Raw genomic sequence first — 22,271 nt, 5'->3', positions numbered from 1 at the left:
AGACAGAAAGACTGATGGAGACATAGAATGGGAAGGACAGAAGGGAGGAAGGAGGGAAGGAAAGAAGGAAGGGAGGGAAAAGGGTGAGGGGAGGGGAGGGAGTTGTTAGTTCAGGGCTGAGCCTGAGCACAATTGGCTGACACAGCACATTCTCCTACACTCTCCCCTCTCCCTCCTGCTGCTGCCTCCAGCTGTCCCCTCCCCCTTTCCTTATCACTGGGTCTTTGGCTGGGAAAGGGGCCCTGTGGCCTGCTTGTTTCACACATTCTTCTAAGCCAAGGTTAGCTGGTGTTCCTAGCCCCTCCCCTGCCCTCCTCCACCTACTCAGCAGCTCTAGTGCTCAGGTAGGGAGGAAGCAGGTGACCACCCCAGGGAGAAAGGGCAACATTCCAACTCCTCAGCGGCCTGAAGAGTAGGAGGAGGCAGCAGGAGAGGAGGTTGGCCTGCTTCATTCACTTGCAAGCTCCTGCTGATGCTGTCATCTCCTGGAGGGCTTGCCAGGGTCCCAGGGGCCTGGGGTTCTGGGCTGAGCCTCAGGCTTTAGCCTGGAATCTGAGCTCCACCTCTGATGCTGCTGCAGCAGTGGCTGGCCGGCTGGCCAGGGGGCTCAAGGTGGCCAGCTCTTACTTCCTAAATGGAAGCAGATTCCATTTCCCCCAAACCAGCCTCTGTCAGAGATCTCTAGGCCTGGCCTTTGAGGATCTTCTTCAGACAGGATTCCAGAAGGAAGGGAAACTGTAATGAACAAGATTTAGGACCTGAGATGGGGGTTGATTCCTGGGGAGCTTAGTTTCAGCCCTGACAGGAGGGGAGAAGGCATCGGGAGTGTGTCAGGTGGCTGCTTCAGGTCCTGCTTCTTGGGGCTTTAGGAATAAGGGCAACTGAGCAACTATAAGGTCAAGGAGAAGACTACATAAATATAGAGAAGACAAAAGTCCAAATTTGTTTCCTTCCCTCCTTCTTCCTCTCAACACACAGTTCTGAGTATAGGTCACTCTGGATTACCCCCGCTTCCCCTCTCACTGAGGGGTGTTTGCTGGCTGGGAGGAGACAGGGACTCATGCCCTAGAAGGATAAGTTGAATAATCTGGAGTTGTTGATCCTGGAAAAGAGAAAACTGTGGGAAAGTGTGGGAGGTGTGGTCTTCATCCTCAGAAGTCTGAAAGGCTGTCATAGGGCAGAACACTGACAAAAAAAATCTTAGAGCTGAATAAAAATCATCAGGTGTAACCTGGAGGGGAAGGGACCATCCAAAGATGAGCCAGGGAGGCTGGCTCTCAAATGTACTGCTCTTTCCATCCCCGTCCCCCTGGCCAAGTACCCTCCCCATCTATGAGAGTATAGAAAGCAGAACAGGCACAAGGAGGGGGGTTCCAGGGAGGTGACTCCAGACTTTTAATAGGGAACCACTTTCTGACAACTAGAGTGGTCCAAGAAGGGAAAGGTACTAAGTCCCCCCCTCCCCACCCCAAAGCTAGGGGTAGGCAAGAAGTCCTCTGGCAGGGCATTAGGTGGGAGTGGAATGGGATGGCGTTCAGGGTTCCTGCCAGCCTGGGAAATGGACCCAGAATGACGATGGTCCACTGGGCTGTAAAAGAGCTATGTGCCATGGGCAACTTCCTCCCTTCTCTGGGCTTCCATTTCCTCATTGCCCTATGGTTGGCCTTCCTCCCTGAGGACTGGGTTCGGATCCCACCAGGGTCTGCTTGCAACAGAAGTGATCAGAGCCTAGAATCTCACGTAAGCAGCTGGCTCCTCTCCCTCTGCTGCCCGATTTTCCATGGGCTTATATGCTTTTCTCTGGGTCAGTGTCTGAGGATTTCATTTAAAGAGGCAGAAGGCAAGGTAGACAGAGTCAGCCCATGGTGGGGCTGTAGGTGTGACCAGAGGTGCCAGGTTTGACAAAGTAAGTCCACAAGTTGGCCTGCCTGGAGAGGTGATGAGCAACCTGTCCCTGGAACTCTTCGAGAAAATGCTGGTTGACCACTTGGGAGAGCACTGTTGAGGGAGTCCTGGTGGCCTGAGAATCTGCAGTCAAAAGGCTTGAGGATCTTTCTAGACCATGCCAAGCAGGTGTCTCCTGGGACAAAGCCAACTGGAAAAATACCCACTGGGCCTGGGCTGGACCCTTGATCTCAGTGCTGGCAGCTCCAGGAGGCCCCCACCCCAATTCACCTGCTGAGGCTGATTTAAGTCCCAAGCTCAGCCCACCTTATGTCTCCCCAGGTGCAGGCAGGGTGGAACGTGTGTGTGTACGTGTGTGTGTGTGTGTGTGTGTGTGTGTGTGTGTGTGTGAAGACCTGAAATGAAGACCACATGGCAGGTTGAACCCCACCCACGCAAGCAGGGCCTGGCTGAGTCCAGAGGAGCCTCTCTCGCTTTTGAGGGGAAGGAAGGGGCCAGACAGCCACGGGATGGGGCTGTGCAGGCCTTTCTCTAGCACAAGCTTTTCTCTCCTTCTTCTTCTGAGCCCTGGCCTGGTGGCCCAGGCCCTTTCTGCCTGGTTGGACTGATCTTTTCTTATCTCCGCCCTCATCAACATTCCTCATTCTAGCTTCGCCATCCTGAGCTGGGACACATACCTGAAGGGCAGATCAAAGGCCCACAGCTGCTGTTGTCAGCTCCCATTAGACCTTGGCTGAGAAGGGGAGCCCACCCTGGCAGGCTGTCCCGGCCCCTTCACCTTGCCTTCCCCATCCTGGCTTTCAGAGGTGAGCTCACCCCAATGTGGCGCCTCCAGATGTGGAGGGGGCCCTGCCCCTGCCGGCCCCCTCCCCCTGCCTCTCTCTTCTGAGGAGAAGAGAATGCTTTGAATGCCTGAGTAGGAACCAGTCCTGGAGCCCGGACCTGGGCAGACAGAGAAAAACAGCTGTCTGGACAGTGGAAACGCTGGTGCCTGGGGAAGGCCAGTCCCTGTTTCAGCAACCCTGCTAGAGGTTTGCCAAAGAAGCTGAGATGAGGGCTGAGATACGATGTGAGGGCAGTGCTCTCAGGGTCTTGAGGAGTCCTGGGCTTTCTTCCCAGTCCTGTCATGTAAAGGGAGCCTTTGAGGCCCTCGGGATCCAGCCCTCGTCTACATCTCCACCCTCTCTGATCTTCCTAACACACATCACGTATTTCCCCACCTCCATGCTCTTGTACTCGTCTCCCCACTGGCTTAGAATGCTTTTCTCCACCTGACAGAATCCTGCTCCACAGGAAGAAGTAGGGATAGCAAGCTGCATGTTTAGTAGAGTTCCCTTTTTTATAGAAAATGTACCTAATAATCACTTACTATGTTCCAGGTACTATATTTTTTGTCTTTAGATTCACCAGGTACTATTCTAAGTGGTTTATACCTTATTTAATCTTCATAACAATAGATAAGCATTAAACAATGGACATGGCATTCATTCTTCTATGAATGAGGTACCATTATCATCATCACCATTTTACAGATGAAGAAACAGAGGCCCAAAGAGGTACAGCCTCCTGCTCCATGACACACAGCTTGTAAGTGGCAGAGCTGGAGTACACACCAGGTGGCCTTGCCTCGGAGTCCGTGCTCTGAACCATCACGCTTTGCTGCCTCTCATTTCTAGGGCAACAGCAAGAGGAAAGGCCTGCAAGCATATGTGCCTAACTACCTAATGGGGCAGGTTGGGGATTCTTTTTAGAACATAGTGTGTTTGAAATGTTCTGCAATATGTATGGAACTGGATGCAGAGGATGTGGTAGTCAGCATGTGAACTCTGGGATCAGGGAAATCTGGGACCAAGTTCCAACTTTGCTACTCACCACATGAATGACCAGGGGTACCTCCTCTTGGTCATTGGTAAACCAGGGATGATGAGAATCCCTATTTTTGGGATTGGTATCTGGATTAACTAAGATATTGAATGAGCAGCACTTAGCTTTAATTGGCCAAAAAGCCTTAATTTTTATAATCAAAGACAAAGACTAGAAGAGCCCTCCACATCCAACAAGGCACTGGTCAAAACTTACCTCCTCTGGGAAAGCTTCCCACTCTCTCCTCCTCCTCACTCTGCCTCCAAAAAGCAAACAACTTGCCCGTTCTACCCTTAGTACACCAGCTGGAGTTTCCAGTGTCTCAGCAGCAGGGAACACGATACTCTGTCTTTTAATCATTGCTTGCTTCCCTAGGACATAGTTCAGTGCCAGGCAGAGAGGGGTCTCAATAAGCTAATTCGTCGAACCTTTGGTGAGCACATACTCTTGTTTGCTGTACGCTGGGGATAGATATATAGAGAAGATGCTGCCCTGCTCTTGGTGAGCACATAGTCTGGAGTGGGGGTGGAGGTGGGATGGGGTAAGGGTGGAGGTGGGAGATAGTCTTGAAATTGTGGATCATAATAGAATATGTTGACAGAGGAAAGTGAGAGGAACACATTTGCTCAATCATTAACAAATATTTATTGAGTGCCTATTATGTACCAGGCACTATTCCTAGAGATTTATCTCTGATCATTAGCATACTGACAGTTCAGACTGGAAGAGTAAGGAGAAGCTTCCTAGAGGAAATGGAATTTGGCCTGGTGAACCTGGGGGAGAAGGGTGTGCCAACAATGGCATGGCTACGGTCAATGGTGCTAAGGAAATGTCTGCCCCCTTTGTCCCCTCATGCTGGCTAAGGACACCACAACTAGAATCTCAGAAGCACCCCCACAGACTGGTGCTCAAAGACAGATGTCCCCTTTGGCCTGCTCTCACTATGCCCCTGTGTTCCAGGAAGTGGAAGTAACACATGCAGGGCCAGGGGTGAGGGGCGTCTGGTGCATTTATAGAACTGTGAGTCATTCAGCTGATCCGATCTGGAGTGGGACAGTCAGGGATGAAGGCCAAGGAGAGGAGAGTGGGGAGAGGGTAGGCTGGAGAGGTAAATAGCGGCCAGGCTCTCTTTTGGCTATGGAGTATGGACTTGATCTTGTGGGCCAAGGAGAGTCCCAGAAGGTTTCTGAGTGAGGTCATCAGATGTGTGCTTCAGAAAGTTCACTGAGTGTGTGAAGAAGATGAGCTCAGTATGGGTCCTGTTGAATTTGAGGGGCCTGGAGGTCATTCAAGCTGGGGTGGGGCTGAATCAGCTCAGGGGAGAGGGCTGGGTGGGAGGCCTGGGGTGGAGATTCTCAGCACACAGATAGGAACTGAAGCTGACAGAAGATGAGCTCACGCACGGAGGCTGGGTAGCACAGGAAAAAGAAAGGGAAGGACTGAGCCCCGGGGCCTTCCAGCATTCAAGGAATAGGAGAGGAAGAGGAGCTGGCAAAGGAAACAGAGAGAGTAGCCAGAGAGTTAGTAGCGAAACCCAGAAAATGTTGAGTGGTCAGTGAATATTTGTTAAGTGAACTTGGGACAGGAGCGATCAACATCAGGTATCAAAATGAACCCCTTGCCAATGAAGATTTAAAGGCAAAAAATCAAGCAAAATCCTTATGAATGAAACACTGGTCATAATGTAGATTTCTGAGCCCTGGCCCCAGAGATGTGGATTCCATAGGTCTGGGTGGGGCTGGGAAGTCCTCATTTCTAGTGATTCAGAAGCAGGGGTCTGTGGTCATTACTTTGAGGGATGTTGCCATCTTAGAGGCAGAAAGTGAAAGGCAGAGGGTAGGGAGGATGTTCTGGTGGCCTTCACCCAGGACAGAGAGAAGGGCTGGACAACAGCAGCATTCCCCCACTCAACACACACACACACACACACACTCTCACACACACATGTTCACACACACACATGCACACACACACACACACACACACTCACACACCCCCCAGACCTTTTAGAACCCAGGTGCAGGCCCAGAGCCCAGCCAGGAGTAAACTGAGCCTCAGCGTGGAAAATATGGAACCAAGATATCCGGGAAGGGAGGCGGGCGGGAAGGGGAATAATGCAAACCATGCAGCTCTGCCCGGGAAAGAGCAAGGAAAGGGGGGCCGGGGACTGGTGAACAGCAAATGAGATATGAGCTTGCAATGTGATATGGTAGCCCGCTGAAGTCAGCATCTCTCTCTCACCCTCTTTCTCTCTCTGCCTGCATGGGGCCACACTGCTGTAGCACAGAGTAAAGGCAGAGGACCCCCTATCTGCAGGCTCAGCCCTGCCAGGACATTACCTAGAGGTGTCCTCATCACATCCTATTCAAAAGAGGGGTATGGAAAAACACCCGATATTGCTGCAGGGGCCAAATCAGGGCTGTGAGATGAGCAGCACTCTAGTGTGCTATGATACAGGCAACCCGGATTCCAGTCCCAGACCTACCACTGATAAGCTGTGTGGTCTCGGATAAGTCACTTAACCTCTCTTGGCCTCTACTGCTGCATCAGTAAACAGAGGAGGCAGGGTTCAGAGGATATTGGCCCCCCCAACTTCTAACATGTAGGTGCTTTATGGAGTGGTGGATTTTCACCAGTTTTATCCTGACCCCTTTTGTAGGGACAAAAAGTGGGTGGGCTGGCCTAGCACTTACTACTTACTTTGTGCTTGGGACTGTGGTGGGAGCTTTGTATCCAGTCTCTTGTTTCAGCTTCACAACAGCCCTGTGAGGAAGGAATTGTGCCCATTTTACAGATGAGGACATTGGGACTTTGGAGAACAGGCCATTGGGTCTGAAGGTTGGAGGAAGAAGGGGCATGGCTTCAGCCCCTGTGTATGCTTTCCCCGGGGCTATGTATCCTGGGGCTTCCTAGAACCCATGTTCCCAGTCCCAGAGAGGAGCACTCCCCTAGCAGCTTTTGTTTGACTAATGGGCCCATTGCTCTGAGAGGCAGGCCCTTGAGTTTATAGCGCCCATATTTCCCCATGACAGTGGGACACGTGCTTATCAAGTGAGGGGTGGGGAGGATGGGGGCACACATGGCTTGATAAGGGGCCGACTAGGTATTTTAAATGTCTTTTTTACATGCCCAAGGTAGCCGGCAGCCGTGGAGGGGGGGGCCTCAGTGTGCAGTCTAGGCACTGGGGTCCTCTCTGCCAGCCTCTCCTTCACCTTGATCCGTCCCAGAGTCAATCTCTCCTGACAGGGATCCTCTGAGCAAACCTAATGATTGCCAGCTGGGAGTGGAGGACCCAGGGCAGAGGCCGCCAGGACCCCACCTAACCCTGGCTCTAATTGGCTCCCCCACAAGCTGGGGATAGCTGCCTGCTCTGAGTTAGGCCTGGCTTTTCTCAAACCAGGACACTTGCCTGGCCAGCCAGGCCCAGCCAGCCCTTCTATTCCCCTGACAAGCTCTTTCCTGAGGGCTTCCTGCAGAGAAGGAGACCAATGGCATGGCTCTGGGGTCCCTCCCCAACACCCAGACGTGGGCCTTGGCCCAGGATTCTGGGCAATGAGCAAGACTCCAGGGACTTGACTGCCCCTTTAGGGAGCCCCCTACCCAAAGCCACACCTGACAGCCTGGGTGGGTATAGGGATGGGATGTGGGGCTGCTCCAAGTCAGGTTCCTTTTCTCCCTTTTTCTGGACTCCCCACTCTTGTGGTCCTTCCTCCCTTGTCTCTGCTTGTACAAATCTCCAAGGTCTGTCAAGACCCAACTTAAGGCCTGATTCCTGCTGGGCCCAGTGGCTCACGCCTGTAATCCCAACACTTTAGGAGGCCAAGGTGGGCGGATCACGAGGTCAGGAGTTCGAGGCCTGGCCAATATGGTGAAACCTCGTCTCTACTAAAAATACAAAAATTAGCCAGGCATGGTGGCAAGCACCTGTAGTCCCAGCTACTCAGGAGACTGAGGCAGGAGAATCACTTGAACCCGGGAGGCGGACTTTGCAGTGAGCCGAGATTGCGCCACTGCACTCCAACCTGGGTGACAGAGCGAGACTCTGTCTCAAAAAAAAAAAAAAAAAGGCCTAATTCTTACAATCTCACTGGTTGACCTTGTCTAAGTCATTGGCACCTCTGGAAGGTCTCAGTGTCCTTTCTAGCTGGGAAGGTGGGACATATCATGACTGTCTGAGTCTATTCCCTTGAATTACTCCTTGGGTGTAGCTTCTCTTGGCAACCAGAAAGTAAGTGGATTCCTTGTCACTTGCAGAAATGAAGTCCCAATTCCTTGGCTTGGTATTCAAGTCCACTTCTCTTCCACAAAGTCTTGTAGTGGCCTGGGACCCGGCACTATTTCCAGAACACATCAGGCCTTTTCCTACAGCCACGCTTTTCCTCCGGCAGTTCCTCTGCTGGAGATGCCCCTCTGTTTACTCCCACATCCCCAGGTCTTCCACCCTCCCAGATCCAGCCCAAGTGGGAAAGTTAAGGACTCCTTCCTTTGTTTCCAGGGCCATTGTTAGTTACTGGATAAACCTCTGGTGCCTGCAGTTGAATATTAGAATTAGGGTCTCCTTGAGAGCAAGAATAAATGTTTGTTGAATTGTAAACATAAGGAATATCTCTGATCTGCTTCCCTCATACAAGGATTCCACCTCCCTTCCATCCATAGAGCACAGTGAAATTTCATTTACAGATAATTACCTATTCAACAGAAAAGTCCAGGTTGTAGAAAGTGCTAAAGATCTGAGTCAGAAGATACAGGCAATGCCACTAACCCATTGTATGCGTGACCTTGGGCAAGTCACTTCCCCTCTCTGAGCCTCAATTTCTTGTCTGGGTAGTACAGCGCAGTGGTTAAACTCACGGATTCTAGAGCTAGAATACCTAGGACCAAGCCATACCTTTGCTGTGTACTAGTTCTGTGATCCTGGGCAAGTAACTTAACTTCTTTGACCTTCGGTTTTTCCATCTCTAAAAATGGGGAAAATAATGGTACCTGTTAAGTAAGTTAATAAATATAGAACACTCAGAACTATAGTAAGTCCTCAATAAGCGCTAGCTGCCTTTATTATTAGTGATCATCAACTGCCAAATGGGGCTCAGGTTGCCTGACACGTGGGAGAAAAGCAGGTATTAAGAGAATGAAAGGGCACAGAAAGCCCTCTAGATGTTGTTTGTAAACTGGATCACACAGTACAAATGCGAGTCATCATGTGATAAGCACACAAATTGGGTTTCCCTTGCAATGGAGTGGTTTAGTGGGCAGGTGTTTGTGTGTGCAGATTCCCAGGATGGGAAAATACATGGAACTTCAGCAGTTCACAACGTCTAACATACTTCCTCAATCATTTGCTTATTTGATCTCCACAACAGCCCATGCAGGAGGCAGGGGAGAGACTGGGATCCTCATTTGTCTGGTCTTAAAAGTGAGGCTCAAAGGAAAGGGAAGTGATTTGTCTAAGGCCACACAACTAAAAATGGTCAAGGACTTGAGCCCAGATCTTCTGAGTCCAGGCCCAGAGTTGGAAGAACTCACCCAAGAGGACAGAGTCACTCTTACTTCTCTCCCTGTTTCCTTCACCTATGCTGAACTCCATTCCTTTGGTGGATACACCTCATGGCAAGCCCTGTGCAGGGCACCAAAGATGCAGAGATGAAACTACACAAGCTCTGTTCTTGAGGTGGTCTGAGGGATGCAGAGGCGAGAGCCCAGAAGTGCTGTTCCAAGGAGCTAAGAGCTGCTAAGGACCACAATGGAGGCACATACAAAGTGTGGTAAAAGCACAGAGGAGGGAAGGCTAGTGTCATGTGGGGGACAGGAGGAGGTGGGGGATGGGTTGAGGGAGAGAGGATGGGGCAGTGGAGAGATGGCATTCAAAAGAGTGGGTGGAGCATTTTCTGAGCTGGTAGCAAGGTGTTTGGCCTGGAAAGTGGGTGGCCCAGCTGCAGATGGTGGATTAGCCCCAATGCTGTCTGCCATTGATGAGCTGGCATTATGCCACCAGCCTCTTGCTCGGGCTCCTTCGTCCCTGCATTGGCCACAGCAGTAAGTAGGACAAAGAGCTCTTAGCGGAACTGTATCCTCACTGTGTTTTCGCATTGAAGAGGTAAGGAGGAGAGGACAGAAACCAGGAAAAGGTTAACTAGCGAGAGAGGGGACTTCAAGCCTAGGTGAGAATGAGTCATCTTAGCTCCCAGAGAGCTGGAAGCCATGGTGGAATCTTCCCAGGCTCATCGGTGATCCGTGGGCATGCAGATTTGACAAGGGAGAGGCTTGACCTCATCAAGTTGCTGGCATGTGTTGGTCACAGAGCTGGGATGTCAGAGATCCTGCAGAGCAGGTAGGCATCTTGGGGTGGGAGGCCTGAGTCATCAAGTCCCAGCAGTTGAGAGCAAATCCGCTCCCAACCTGGCGTTCTTAACAGTACGGAGGCCCGTTCTTTCCACTTGACATTCATTATCTCAGTGCATCCTCACGCTAACCCTGTGACTTAACCCCATGTTGCACATGAGGCTCAGCGGGAAAGGACCTGGCCCAGGTCACGTAGAAGTAAGTGGTGGCCTGTGTGCTTCTCACTCCCTGCCTGCGCAGAGGCGGCCTCCCATTGTGAGCCAGCCAGAAGCAGAGCATTCTGCCGCTTTCGTTATCAGAGAGGAAGAAACTGACAGGTACTCAAGGGACCCCAAGTTTATGCTGGTGCTAAATTGGGAGAGAAACACCTCATGTGGGCCCTTGCCTGAGGGGCACTGAGCAGCCCAGTGGTCAATGTCCTGGGCAATGGCTTGACAACCCAACAGACACCGTTAACACATGGCTGTTTTCTTCTCGATTTTCATCAGATAATGTTTATTTCTCTTCCCGATTATGAAAGGCACACAGGCATGCCTGTTTCTTGAAAGGGCCTTTGATAAGAGCCGAGGGCAGTACATGAAAGGGCTGCTCCGAAAGGGCCATTCTGCCAGCGCTTATACGCATGTGGCCAGGGTGGTTTTTTTGGTTGGTGTTTTGTTTGTTTGTTTGTTTTTTGGTTTTTTTGTTTGTTTGTTTTTTTAGGAGATGAGGGGAACAACCAGAGCGGTGGGCGCCCACCATGGCGCATGGACGCTTCCCCCCATCCCAGTGTGCCTCACAAAGGGACTCTTGTTCCCTCTGTCTTGGGGCAGGCCCTAGGCACTCTCACTTTTAGAGGCTTCACCCCACAGCGTGTCATATATATGAAAATGCTCCCACATCCCATATTAAATGTAATTTTTGCCATAAAATATTTCAAAGGATTTTATAATTCCGCTTTCGAAATTATTTGCCTATGAGTAACTCGTTTCATTCCCAATTGGCTCTGATTTCTTTGTAATCACTGTGCATACTTGGGAATTCTTGCAAAGTGAGGAAATCTAACCAACAAATTGTTTTCAAATGTAATGAAATTTTTAGGAATACTAAATTTAACAATTAATGAGGTTGGTATTATATTACATTTTGTAGACGTATAATAGAACATTTATTAATTCCAATTCTGCTGTTTTCTTTTCATATTTTAGAGCCAATAAATTTTCTTGGGGCTCACATGTTTTCATAGGCCCCTGAAAAGCCCGGAGGCCCTGGGTACTGTGCCTTTAGTGCCACGTGGAAAGAACAGCTTGGGCTCAGGACTTCAGGTGGTCTCCACCCGGCCACTGGAGAGAATGAGACAAAAAAGCCCCAGGTATCTTTCAGAAGGGGAAAGAGGGTGATGTGAGCTCCTCTGTGCTAAGTACTTCCTCACACATCATCTCCTACAATCCTCTCGCCACTCTGAGAGCCAGCTATTGTGATTATTTCTATTTTACAGATGAGGAAACTCAAGAAGCTATGAAAGGTGAAGGCATTTGCTCAGAGTCACACAGCTACTGAGGAGCAAACCAAGGATTTAACCCTTCATCCCTTTAGCTTTGAGGATCTTTCAGCTGCCCAGTGCCCGTGAAGATGAATAAATATTAACTATTACTATTATCATTATCAGAATCTTCCTCTCCCTGAAGGAATTAAGAGAAGAAAAAGCATCCTCATTCTACCGCTTACTAGCTGTGTAACCATGGGTAATGTACTTAATCTGTCTGTGCCTCAGTTTGTTCACCTATAAAATGGGGATATAGGACCTACCTCAAAGAGTTGTTGTGAAGAGTCATGAGTGAATACATGCAAAGCATTTGGCAAAGTGCCTGACACACAGTAGTGTTCAATAAGTGTTAACTATTATTATTATCATTGTTATTATTATAGTTCTCTGAGCACCAGGATCCAGGCTACCCACTGTGTGAGGCTCTAAGTTGGAGTCGCTGGGATATTGGGAAACAAAGAACAAAGAGGGCAGTGCATGGGCAACCTAAGCTTTTGGCTGGAACTGGGGCTTGCAAGATTTCTCCTTGAAAAGGATAATCTGATCTCTCAGGCTTGGAGGGGCCATAGATACCAACTGCCACCTGCCAGGCCTCTGGGACCCTGCAAGTAAGATGGGCTCCTTCACACCCAAAGCTGCCTAGGCTATTTTTAGTGATGATAGCAGCTGGCCCTGAGGCCTCCCAGAAAGCCTGGTGGAGAAAGGTGAGAAGAAGGGAAGGGGAGGGCCAGAGGGAATAGGAAGGATTCTGTTTGTGGCCGCCTGGCCCTCTTTCCTAGGCCTGCTTCAGTCCCTGGGGCCCACAGCACACCAGCGTGTGAAGTTTCTCCCTCAGTGCAACCTCTGCCCAGGGCCAGGGGAGCCAGAGACACTCACATCCCTCCCAGCCCAGCTCCTCATCTTGCAGGCACCCCACAAATCTCTTTCATTTGCCTCCTTCCAGCTGCTCAGAACCAATAGTCCTGGATGAATACTCAGGGCCAGATTGGAAGGACCCCAAGATCTCCCTTCAGGCTACAGAGGCCCAAAGCAGGGGAGGAATGTGGCCCCAGTCAGGCAGCCTGTCAGTGGCTTACCTGGGACTCAAACTCGGAGATACTGTCTTCCAGTCCAGTGCCTACATCACCACATCACTCCCTAGGCCCACTCTGTGGCCTTTGGCAAGTCCTACCCTGTTGGGGACATACACATGTTTGTGGTGGTGGCCCTGAGTCTGGTGAGAGGTCCAGCCTGAAGGAAAGTGGCTGCAGGGGCAAGTGAAGGGGGCTACCTCACATTGGCTTCCCCAGGGCCCAATGTGGTTCGGTTAAGTGCATTTTCCACAGCGCTTGCATGCTCCCATGTGCACATGCTTTGCCAGTATTATCTGGGCTGGGGCTCACCATGCCGCATGTGTAACCAGTTTGCCTATCCTCTCCCAATCTAGAGACGGTTGAAGCGATTCTAATTACAGCCTGCATTCCTGCTCTGTCTGAAGGCTTTCCCTTTTCCAAACGGTCTAGTTTTTTTTTTTTTTTAACTCAGCACTTGGCTCCCTTGCTCCCCGCTTCCGGACTACCGCAACACACACCTCATTCTCACGCCCTTCATCTCCTCCCCCTTTTCTGGGTTGGATTGTTCAACTTCAGCTTGATTTTCTGATGTCTGTGGCTTGGCAAGACTTAAGAAAACCCACTCTCGGTTGCCTCTGCATGCATGTGCGTGTGCGTGGGTGTGTGCTTGCATGTGTGTATGTGATGGTATGGGGTAATATGGCTGTGCATGGTGTGTTGGGCCTGTATGCATGGTGTGTGTACGTTGGTACATGCAAAAGTGTACATGCCTGCTTATGTACATATGATTTTGTCCACAAGTTCATGCTTCGTGGGGGGTTGGGCTAGGGTCTCTGTGTGCATACAAGTGTGTATCTGAGGGTATGCAGTCATGAGTGGCTGCTTGGAAGTTTGTTTCCATGCTTTGCTTGTTTGAAATTGTCTTCTCTCTCAACAGAGACACTGCCCCCTGCAGGTTATATGGGAGACCTACAGAGCTTCCCCTCGTTACAGGTCTTAGCTCACCCTCCGCCTCAGCACCACCAGCCAGTAGCAGGCAGGCAGTCTTTCAGCTTCCCCGTGTCTGCTGGCTTGACCTGATGAGCCCATTTTCTTGACGGAATCCTGCTATATCTCATTAGGACTCATATCCCTCTTTGCCTTGCTCACCACAGAAGCCAGGCCTCCTGGTCTTCCATCACCCCCCAAACTCCAATCCCTCCATTGCCGTGTACAGTCCCTACTTTGGGCCTCATCTTACATTCCTTCCAAGCTCCTCAAACCCTTCCACTCTGCCTTCTGGGACCCATGGTCTACTGGCAGCAACTGTTGCCCCTTCCCCATATGCTCAACCTCTTATAACCGTTTCCTTTATTTCTATACACCAAGGTCACAACTCTCCTGTTATATTTTGGGGGCTATATTTTTCTCTCACACCCCACATACCTCTGGGCAGGGAGATGGGGTAGATGTCCTCCTTGTTTCCCATGGCTGCTTCTAGACCACTTGTTTTCCTTCCTCCTTCTAAAACAATGGCTCTTCCAAAGACTGCCTCATCTCCCACCCCTCCTGAAGGCTGCCATCTTTTGACTGTATTTGTCGCTGCCCTCCATTCACTGAAGATGTTAGTAGGTGGCTGACTGTCTCCTCTCTACCCCCACATCCTGCAACTTCTTCATTAACATAGACCTACCACTCTGGCTTTTCTCTTCCTGGAGTACCTCACACCTCCAAGGATCTGGCCCTTCATCCCATCTGAGTCACTGATTCTCTTGGCCATACCCTTGACCTTGCCATCATGATTAATGACATCAGTTTAAGAATCTTGATTTCAATCATCTCACTTTTTGATCCTACACTCTATTATTCTTATTCCCTCTAGTACCCTTACCTACCAAGGCTCCGTCCTCACTTAGGCCTCGAATCCACTGCCCTGCTACTTTTTCCTCACCCATGCACTCCTCCAGCTTCTGCCTCATCACTCTGCTTTCCTTCACAGTGGGACCTCTCACACCAGATTTCTACACTCAATGTGTCTGCTTCCTCACAGCCCATTCTCACCTCTAGCTACCCTAGAGGACTTCCATCCTCACTGAAATTGCTCTTGTCAAAGATCACCAATGACCCAACATTGCCAACCCCAACGATCTGCCTTGCCTTTCTGGACCTCTCAGAAACATTGGCTATAGTTGACCACTCCCTCCTGGAGCCAGGCTTTCCTAGTTTCAGGCTTTCCTACTATTTCTCTGATTGTTCCTTCTCTGTTTTTTTGCAGGCTCTTCCTCTAAATGTTGGATCTTAGTGTTAGATGTTCTCATCTCCTCTACCTATATTTTCTCTATAAATGATCTCGTCAAGCCCCATGGCTTTAAATACCATCTATATGCCAATGACTCCCCCAGATTTGTATCTTCCATCTTGATCTTTGCCCTAAACTCCATGCTTGTATATCTAACCGCCTGGTTTGGTGGTGGTGGTGATGGGGAATCAAGTATTCTTTTGTAGCCAGAGTATATTTGAGATGCCTAACTAGACAATTCGAGTGGATATATGGAGGAATCATCCATTGGAGGTAATCAGGAAGAGCCTGACACCTCTACTGAAGTCTGTTGTAGCTAATTACCCATTTGATATCCACTTCTCTCTGGCCACCAGCCTAGGCCAGGCCACCATCATCTCTCACCTGGACTGGTGCAATACATTTCCCTGCTTCTACTCTTGCCCCTCAATAATCCATACCCCTTGTAGCAGCCAGAGTGATCTTAAAACACAAATTCAATCACACTCTTTAACATGTTTAAAGCCCTTTAATGGCTTCTCATCACACATAGAGTAAAACTCAGAGTCTTTATCCTGACTTATAAGGCTTTATGTGATATGGTCCCTTTCTGTCTCTCCAACTTCAGCTTTTACCCCTTTTCCCCATCACGTTCATTTCCACCTCAGTGCCTTTATGCTTTCTGCTGTTTCTTCCTCAAACCCTTCCCCCAGATTCCCACATAGCTGACTTTTTCTTGTCAACTGGGTCTCGACCCAAGCATTACCTCCTCACTGAGGCCTTCCGTGATCACTCAATCTAAAATAGCCCCCTCTAACATCATAATTACATAAGCCTGGTTTATTTTCTTCATAGCTCCTGTCACAATCTGGGATTAACTTGTTAACTTATGGTTACTTGTTTATTGTTCACCCCTTCCCCAGGCTAAATGCTAAAGTTCATGAAAACAAGGACTTTGGGCTGTTCACTGCTGTATCTCCAGTGCCTTGAAACAGTGCTTGGCACAGAGTTGGTGCCCCATAAACGTTCATTGAAATAATAAATATGCACGTATATATCTTCATTCAGTTGAGTTTTCAGAAGAGCCTTTTCCGTGGGTAGAGGACCTGCTCAGTTTCTACAAGGAACATGTGTGAATGGTGTGTGGGGCCTGTACACGTGCAAGGAGGAGAAGGGGTTGGGGCGCAGGGCTTTAGCAGCACCAAGAAGCCAGTGCAGGGCGGGCCAGACAGGCGGCTGAAGGGAGCCTGCTTCCCCTCCATTGATTGCATTAATGCCAGGGATTTGGAATGAGGCAGGTTGGGTAATGGGTGGTAATTCAGTCCAGGTTTCACACAAATTCACTGCTGAGAACCAGAGTGGGGAAGGATGAGAAAGACAGATGGGGAGAGAGACAGGCAATCCCCCAGAGCCAGTGCAAGGGTGAGCTCCAGGCAGCAGGGATAAGGCAAAATCTGACTGAGGACTGTAGTCCTGACCTCTGCCATATAGGTTCTCTGTGCTCATGGCGCTTTTTCTGGGCCCGAGGTCTTTGGGACAGGGGGAACCTCTTCTTGCAGAAATCACCTTTCTTCCCTTGGGAATAGGCCAGGCTGAGGTGTAGGAGTGGGTATGGGAAAAATACCGTGCTACTTTCTCATTGTGTGGTCTTAGGCAAGTTACTTCTTCTGTCTGTGCCTCAGTCTCTCATCTATAAAAAGGCCAAGATTGTTGCTTGCCCAAAGGGTTGTTGTGAGTATTCAAACAAGAGAAGGTGTGTGAAACTGGCTACCAGTGGTTGACACACAATCAGTGCTCAGTTGGTTGGATAACTTGAGACACACAAGGCATTCCCTCGCTCTTCCAAGTGCTCTGTCCTTGGTGTACACTTTTCTTCTTCACTCTGCCTTTAGCTTTAGAATAATACAATTTTAGGGAAATAGAGCTGAGATGGAGCCTCAGGCCAGAGTAGATCACAAGCTGCACACAGGTCAGCACAAAGTTTCACCATTTGAAGACTGAGCAGGATCTGAAGCTCTATGACTAGCTGCTGCAAAGCAAGTACGGATGAACTGGACCTCTTTCTGTGACAAGAGGACATTGGTGTGCAGGCATGGGCATGTGAAGGGGACAAGGAAAGAACACAGATGAGAGGGTCCAACTACCCAGGCTCAAGTTGTGGTGCCACCATTTCCTGGCCTTAGGCCTGTGGGTCATTTCTCCATTTCGAGCCTCAGTTTCCTTAGCAGGCACTGTGAAGATATTAATACGAAAATGAGGTAGAAGGCATGAAAATGCCTGGCCTTAGTAGGTGCTCAGTGGATGTCAGCTGCCTTCCATTTCTACAGCTTCAGAGGGCCTCGTGAAGCAGAGAATGAAGTTTGTGGCAGAACATGGAAGAATTTTGGAGTCCAGAAAGAAGGGCACAAAGACCTGGGATTCACCTCTCAGGAGAAGTAGAGGACAGAGTTGAATTCAGGAAACAAGAGGATGTCAGGGCTGGGTGGGGAGGAGCCTCCAAAGGAATCAAGACCAGACTGACTCAAGGTCATGGATTGTAGCTAAGGTAGGACTACAGCCCAGAACACCTACCTTCCCAGCTATGCCTGGAGGGTTATCTGGCCACTGTCATGTACCTGTATCAGCAGCATAGCCATGGACCTTGGGCCATGAGGGCCATGAGGGAGGGCCATGAGGGAAGGCCATGAGGACACAAGGGCAAACACCATGAGGGATGGAGGTGTTATCTAGGGAGAAATGCCTTGGTAGCATTTTATTTTATTTTATTATTTTATGTTATGTTATTTTTAAGATAGGGTCTTGCCCTGTCACCCAGGCTGGAGTGCAGTGGCGCAATCGTGGCTCACTGTAGCGTTAACCTCCTGGGCTCAAGTGATCTCTTGCCTCAGGCTTCTGGGTAGCTGAGACTACAGGCATGCACCACCATGCCCAGCTATTTTTTTTTTTTTCAGCTTTAGTAAAGATGTGATCTCGCTGTGTTGCCCAGGCTGGTCTAGAATTCCTGGCCTCACGCGATCCTCTCTCCTAGGCCTCTCGAAGTTTTGAGATTACAGGCCCGAGCCACAGTGCCCAGCCTGTCTGTGGCTTTAGAGTCTTAAACGAGGTGGCTTCCTTCTCTAGCAGCCTGGAAGAAGGGAAAGCACCCCTTTGAGGCTAGGCTGGAGCTCAGAACAGTCCTAGAAAGTGAGCTTTCAGCCCCCTGTCTTAGTCCAGGCTGCTGCTGCTTCCTGGGCCCCAAATACCTCCTCCAGGTGCCCCCTGCTTTGCCCCAGAGGCCTGGGTAGGGGAAGATCAGTGTGACAGCTGCTAGGCCATGGGCTGGCGGACGCCAGTGTGGGGGTGGGAGTGGGGGGGTGGTCAGCCTAGAAGAGGGCCAGTGGGCAGGAGCATGGAAAAGAAGTTCACAGTCTGCAGCAAATGGATTTCAAGGCCCTGTTAAGTGGAAAAGCCTCCAGGAACGTGGCAGAAAAAGGCCCCTGTCTTTGGAGAGGGGCTATGGGGCCAGGGTGGGGTTGTCTTGGCAGGGGGAAGCTGAGCTGCATGCCTTGTGTGTGATGGGAGGAGTGGGGGGAGGGTGGATGTGAGCAGCTGAGTGAGTCTGGGGCCTTGGGATGGCTGTCTGGGTAGGGGTGGGCTCCAGTCACAGCTCAAGCTCCGGAACCCAGGGACCCCAGGACTCAGTCTTGGTTCCCAGAGGCTGCGTGAACTGAGGGTTGACAAAAGCTAGCACTGACTTGTGTCTCGCAGTCCCCAGGCTCATCTCTCTAGCCATCCCCTACAGTGGCACCCGGGGCTGGATCACAGGGGACATAGAGGTTAGCTCAGACACGATTCCAGCCCTCCTAGAGTTTATGGTCTGGTAGAATAATTTATTTTCATGGGTACAGAGCTTTGCAGTTTATAAGACACTTGCCTATTCATTCCCATATCTCAAGTCTGTGAGGTAATCAGGACAGGATGGAGAAACTGAGGCTCAGAGAAGGGAAGTGATTACCCAAGTCTCACAGTGGCAGAGATGGGAAGTCCCAGCCTTCCTCTGCTCTTGCCCTTCTGAGCAATGTATAAGCCCGCAGCCCTCCCCGAGCCCTGTATTTTCCATTCCTATAGGTGGCTCCTCTTAGGAGATGCTATGTGGGAGGGCTCAGGCCAAGAAACCCCCTTAGCTCAGGCAGGCAAAGTGTTTTCTTGGCCAAAGAGCACGTCTGGCTGTCTGGCTGCCCCATTCTTGGGCTGGACAGTATGCAACCATCATGCAATCCTTCTCTAGTGGCCTCAGTTTCTCTGACATCCTTCTTAGCACTAGAAGGAGTCATAGTAGAGAGGGGCTGTGGAGTCAGAGAGGCGGTGGCCACGGCTATGCAGGCGGCTTAGCAGAGGAGGAGGAGCCTCAGGCCCCTTTCCCAGCCAGGCCCCCTGCCCTTTGCCTGGCCTGGCCCCAGGCACAGGGCCCAGCCAGCTGTCCCAGGGCAGGCCAGCTAGCTGCATTAGCAAATGTGTTTGCGGTTATGGGCCGCTCCCGAAAGCAGAGGAGCGTTGCATGAGGTGGGTGGGGGGCGGGTAGGGACTGAAGACAGACCAGACTCTGGTTCCCAGCCCTAGCCAGGGAAATCAGAACCAGGCTGGACTTCTGGCCCCAGCTCCCCGCTGCAACAACCTCCCTCACTGCCTCCCCCTAGCCTCCCTGGCCTGGGGGAGGCCTGAGGGAGGCCAGGCCTCAGCAATGCAGCGAGTTCAGGGAGGGTTGACCCTGTGCTACTCAGAAGGGGCTGCCTTTGGCTGTCAGTGGCGGAGGTCTTGAGTGGGCTGTGGTGGGTGGGGGTGAGAGGAGAATATTCTTGCATCCAGCCTCTCACTCAAAATAACTCTCCCTTCCTTTCCTCCTGGGGTGGACAAAGCAGATGAAGAAGACAGACCTCAGCCCAGATCATGCAATCTGTGCAGCAGAACCCATCCCAATTGGAACAGGGAGAGAAAAATCTTCCTGTTCCACCTTTTTTTCCCTGAAAATGGTGGGGGACTGGCGGAAAGGATGCTAAGTGCTCTAAAGTCTGCTAGGAGCCTGCTAGGGCCTGACCTTTCAGATTTCAGCCAGAGCCAAGCCAGTCTGTTATAGAAGAGGCAGAGGTGGGGCTCAGGGTGAATTAAAGGTAGGTGAGAAAACGTGGGGTGAGGGAAAAGGCAGGCAGACCGAGGTGGGGCAAGGGCAGACACCCTGCAGTGCGGTCATTTTGAGATGAGATTTAGTGAAGATATTGATGAAGATAACAATAATAAGAAGATACCGGTTAAAATAGCTGTCTATTATCTCACACTGACTGGGTGCCCAGCATTTAGATTGCAGAATTGAGGCTCGGAGAGAAGTGATTGTTGAAGGCCAGACATCCAAGAAAGAGCAAAGCAGAGATAGGAGCCCAAGTTCCTCTAAACTGTCCCCTCGTCCAGGCGGGGGCCTGCGTGCAGCTGACAGGGAAAGAGGGGTGGGGGTCCCACTGTCATGGGTCTGCTGGCACTAGCTCTGGCACTTACTAGAGTTGTGTCCATCTATGATGTCATTTTCTCCCTTGTCAGCTTGGCTAACTTTTATGTATCCTTTAGGAGCCATCTTAAAAGTTCTGGCTCGCCAAGCCTTGCCCCACTCCTGCAGACAGGACTTGCTTCCTTGTGTCCCTACTGCCCCATTCCTATCCTTGCCATGTCACTCCTGTAGATCATCAACTCCTAGAGTGCTCAGACTGGCCCTGAGAAGCCTCTTGATCACTGTCAGCCGCCTCTTTTGTCATACAACTAGAAAGGTTTTTTTTTCTTTTCTTTGTCTGAAACACGGGGCATCTTAGTGTACTGGTCATTAGCACAGGTGTTGGCATCGGACAGACCAGGGTTTGGAAGCTGCTCTACCATTCTCTGCATGGTAAGCTCAGCATGGTGGGAACTGTGTCTACTGCGTTTGTTGCTGCTGAATCCGTAAGCACCCCACATGGCATAGGCACTCAAGTGGACAAGTTATGGGATATGATCCCCTCAGCCAGGCTCACAGGGCTATTGGGAAAATTCAGAGTAGGTGCTCCACAAAGCTGAGTTCCCTCAACCCTGCCCTATCCTCCCAAGGCTTAGGCAGCCAAACAGAGGAGTTCCCTTCTCCAGAGAACGTCTAGGAGATGATTCACAGGAGATGAAGCGAGGGTAACTTTCAGCATCTTGACCATCCCTTTTAGCTTTGGGCCACAAGGCCCCCCAGCACATCCCACCCAGATCCCCTCTCTTGCTGTTGCAAGCTGCTGCTTCAGGTCAAGCCTCCTTCCTTCCTGTGGTGGGGGAAAGCCCATCATTCCCAATGGAAGCTGACAGTAGCTTGGGGAATAAGGCTCCTGTCTGTGGCCACGGTGGGCTGTGGGGCCCTATGCCCAGCGTGCCAGGGATCTTCAGGGCTGGGGGGCAGTGTGTGAATGAGAAGAGAAGCAGAGAAGGCCGAGGGGAGAACTGACTCTGCAGCCCTGTCCTCCCCCAAAGTGAACAGAGTGACTAAAACGTGCCCAGCCCTTTGCAAAGCACTTTTCTCACCTGGGTCCCTGCCAGTTGCTCCATTTTATAGATGGAGAGGATGAGGCCCAGAGAGGTGAAGGCACTTCCCCACGGGTACTGAGCAAATAAGCTGCAGCTTTAGGGTTTCGGTCCAGGTGTGTTGGATCTCTGCTTCACTTAGCTGTCTCTAAGGGGCCAAAGGCAAAGGGGCCAGGCCCATCTGGCACTGGGAGCTGACCCTCTCACCTGGGGACAGGAATGCAGTGACACTGGCAGGCCATGTGGGGGGCCTCTCGCTGCAGCCAGAGGGACATGAAGGAGATGATATGTGGGAGAAGGTGCAGGAGCAGTAGATGGATTGGAGTGGGTTCAGAGGCAGGCAATGAAAATGATTAAGGGAAGAGAGGGATTAATTTATAAAATGAGATTAGAAGAGCAGTGCTGCCCTGCTTGGCTAAGGGACAGCTAGAGGGTGGGCTGGCGGGCTTTGAGGAGGGGGTGGCAGTAAAGTGTGGGGGAGCCCACTGACTCTGAGGGGCCCACCAGTCCTGGAGCCTGGGCTGGGAGCCCTAACTGCGCTGAACCATTGCCTGACAGGACAACTGCGAGGGTTCCCGAGGGCCCAGCAGCTTCAGCAGTTAGGGCAGCCCCAGAAACCCCCTCTGGCCTTCCTCCCTGCTGCTTTGGAGTGACAAGGAAGACTCATCTGGGCAGCCCGCAGAAACTCATAAAGATACTTCCCAATGGCTTCGAGAGGAGGGAAGCTCTTCTTCCACTGTAGATGAGGTAGATGAGGAACAGAAGATCAGAC

At 50.8% G+C, this 22,271-nt stretch overlaps 1 long non-coding RNA gene across 1 annotated transcript, besides 3 other annotated features; it reads left to right on the top strand.

Moving 5' to 3' along the window:
• Positions 1,848-2,440: an enhancer, noted in NCBI's record as "H3K4me1 hESC enhancer chrX:68325189-68325781 (GRCh37/hg19 assembly coordinates)". NCBI's record gives its function as "activates a minimal SCP1, AML or CMV promoter by ChIP-STARR-seq in primed H9 embryonic stem cells {active_cell/tissue: H9 hESC(primed)}" and the evidence as "EXISTENCE:reporter gene assay evidence [ECO:0000049][PMID:30033119]".
• Positions 2,441-3,034: an enhancer, noted in NCBI's record as "H3K4me1 hESC enhancer chrX:68324595-68325188 (GRCh37/hg19 assembly coordinates)". NCBI's record gives its function as "activates a minimal SCP1, AML or CMV promoter by ChIP-STARR-seq in naive H9 embryonic stem cells {active_cell/tissue: H9 hESC(naive)}" and the evidence as "EXISTENCE:reporter gene assay evidence [ECO:0000049][PMID:30033119]".
• On the top strand, positions 11,317-11,901 carry LOC124905196 (uncharacterized). Its single transcript, XR_007068261.1, has 2 exons — positions 11,317-11,458; positions 11,585-11,901. It is a non-coding gene; the product is annotated as an uncharacterized LOC124905196 (long non-coding RNA).
• Positions 12,603-13,103: an enhancer, noted in NCBI's record as "H3K4me1 hESC enhancer chrX:68314526-68315026 (GRCh37/hg19 assembly coordinates)". NCBI's record gives its function as "activates a minimal SCP1, AML or CMV promoter by ChIP-STARR-seq in naive H9 embryonic stem cells {active_cell/tissue: H9 hESC(naive)}" and the evidence as "EXISTENCE:reporter gene assay evidence [ECO:0000049][PMID:30033119]".

This window comes from Homo sapiens, chromosome X (genome assembly GCF_000001405.40).
Source record: "Homo sapiens chromosome X, GRCh38.p14 Primary Assembly".
Lineage (NCBI taxonomy): Eukaryota > Metazoa > Chordata > Mammalia > Primates > Hominidae > Homo > Homo sapiens.
This window is presented reverse-complemented; position numbering and strand designations above follow the sequence as displayed.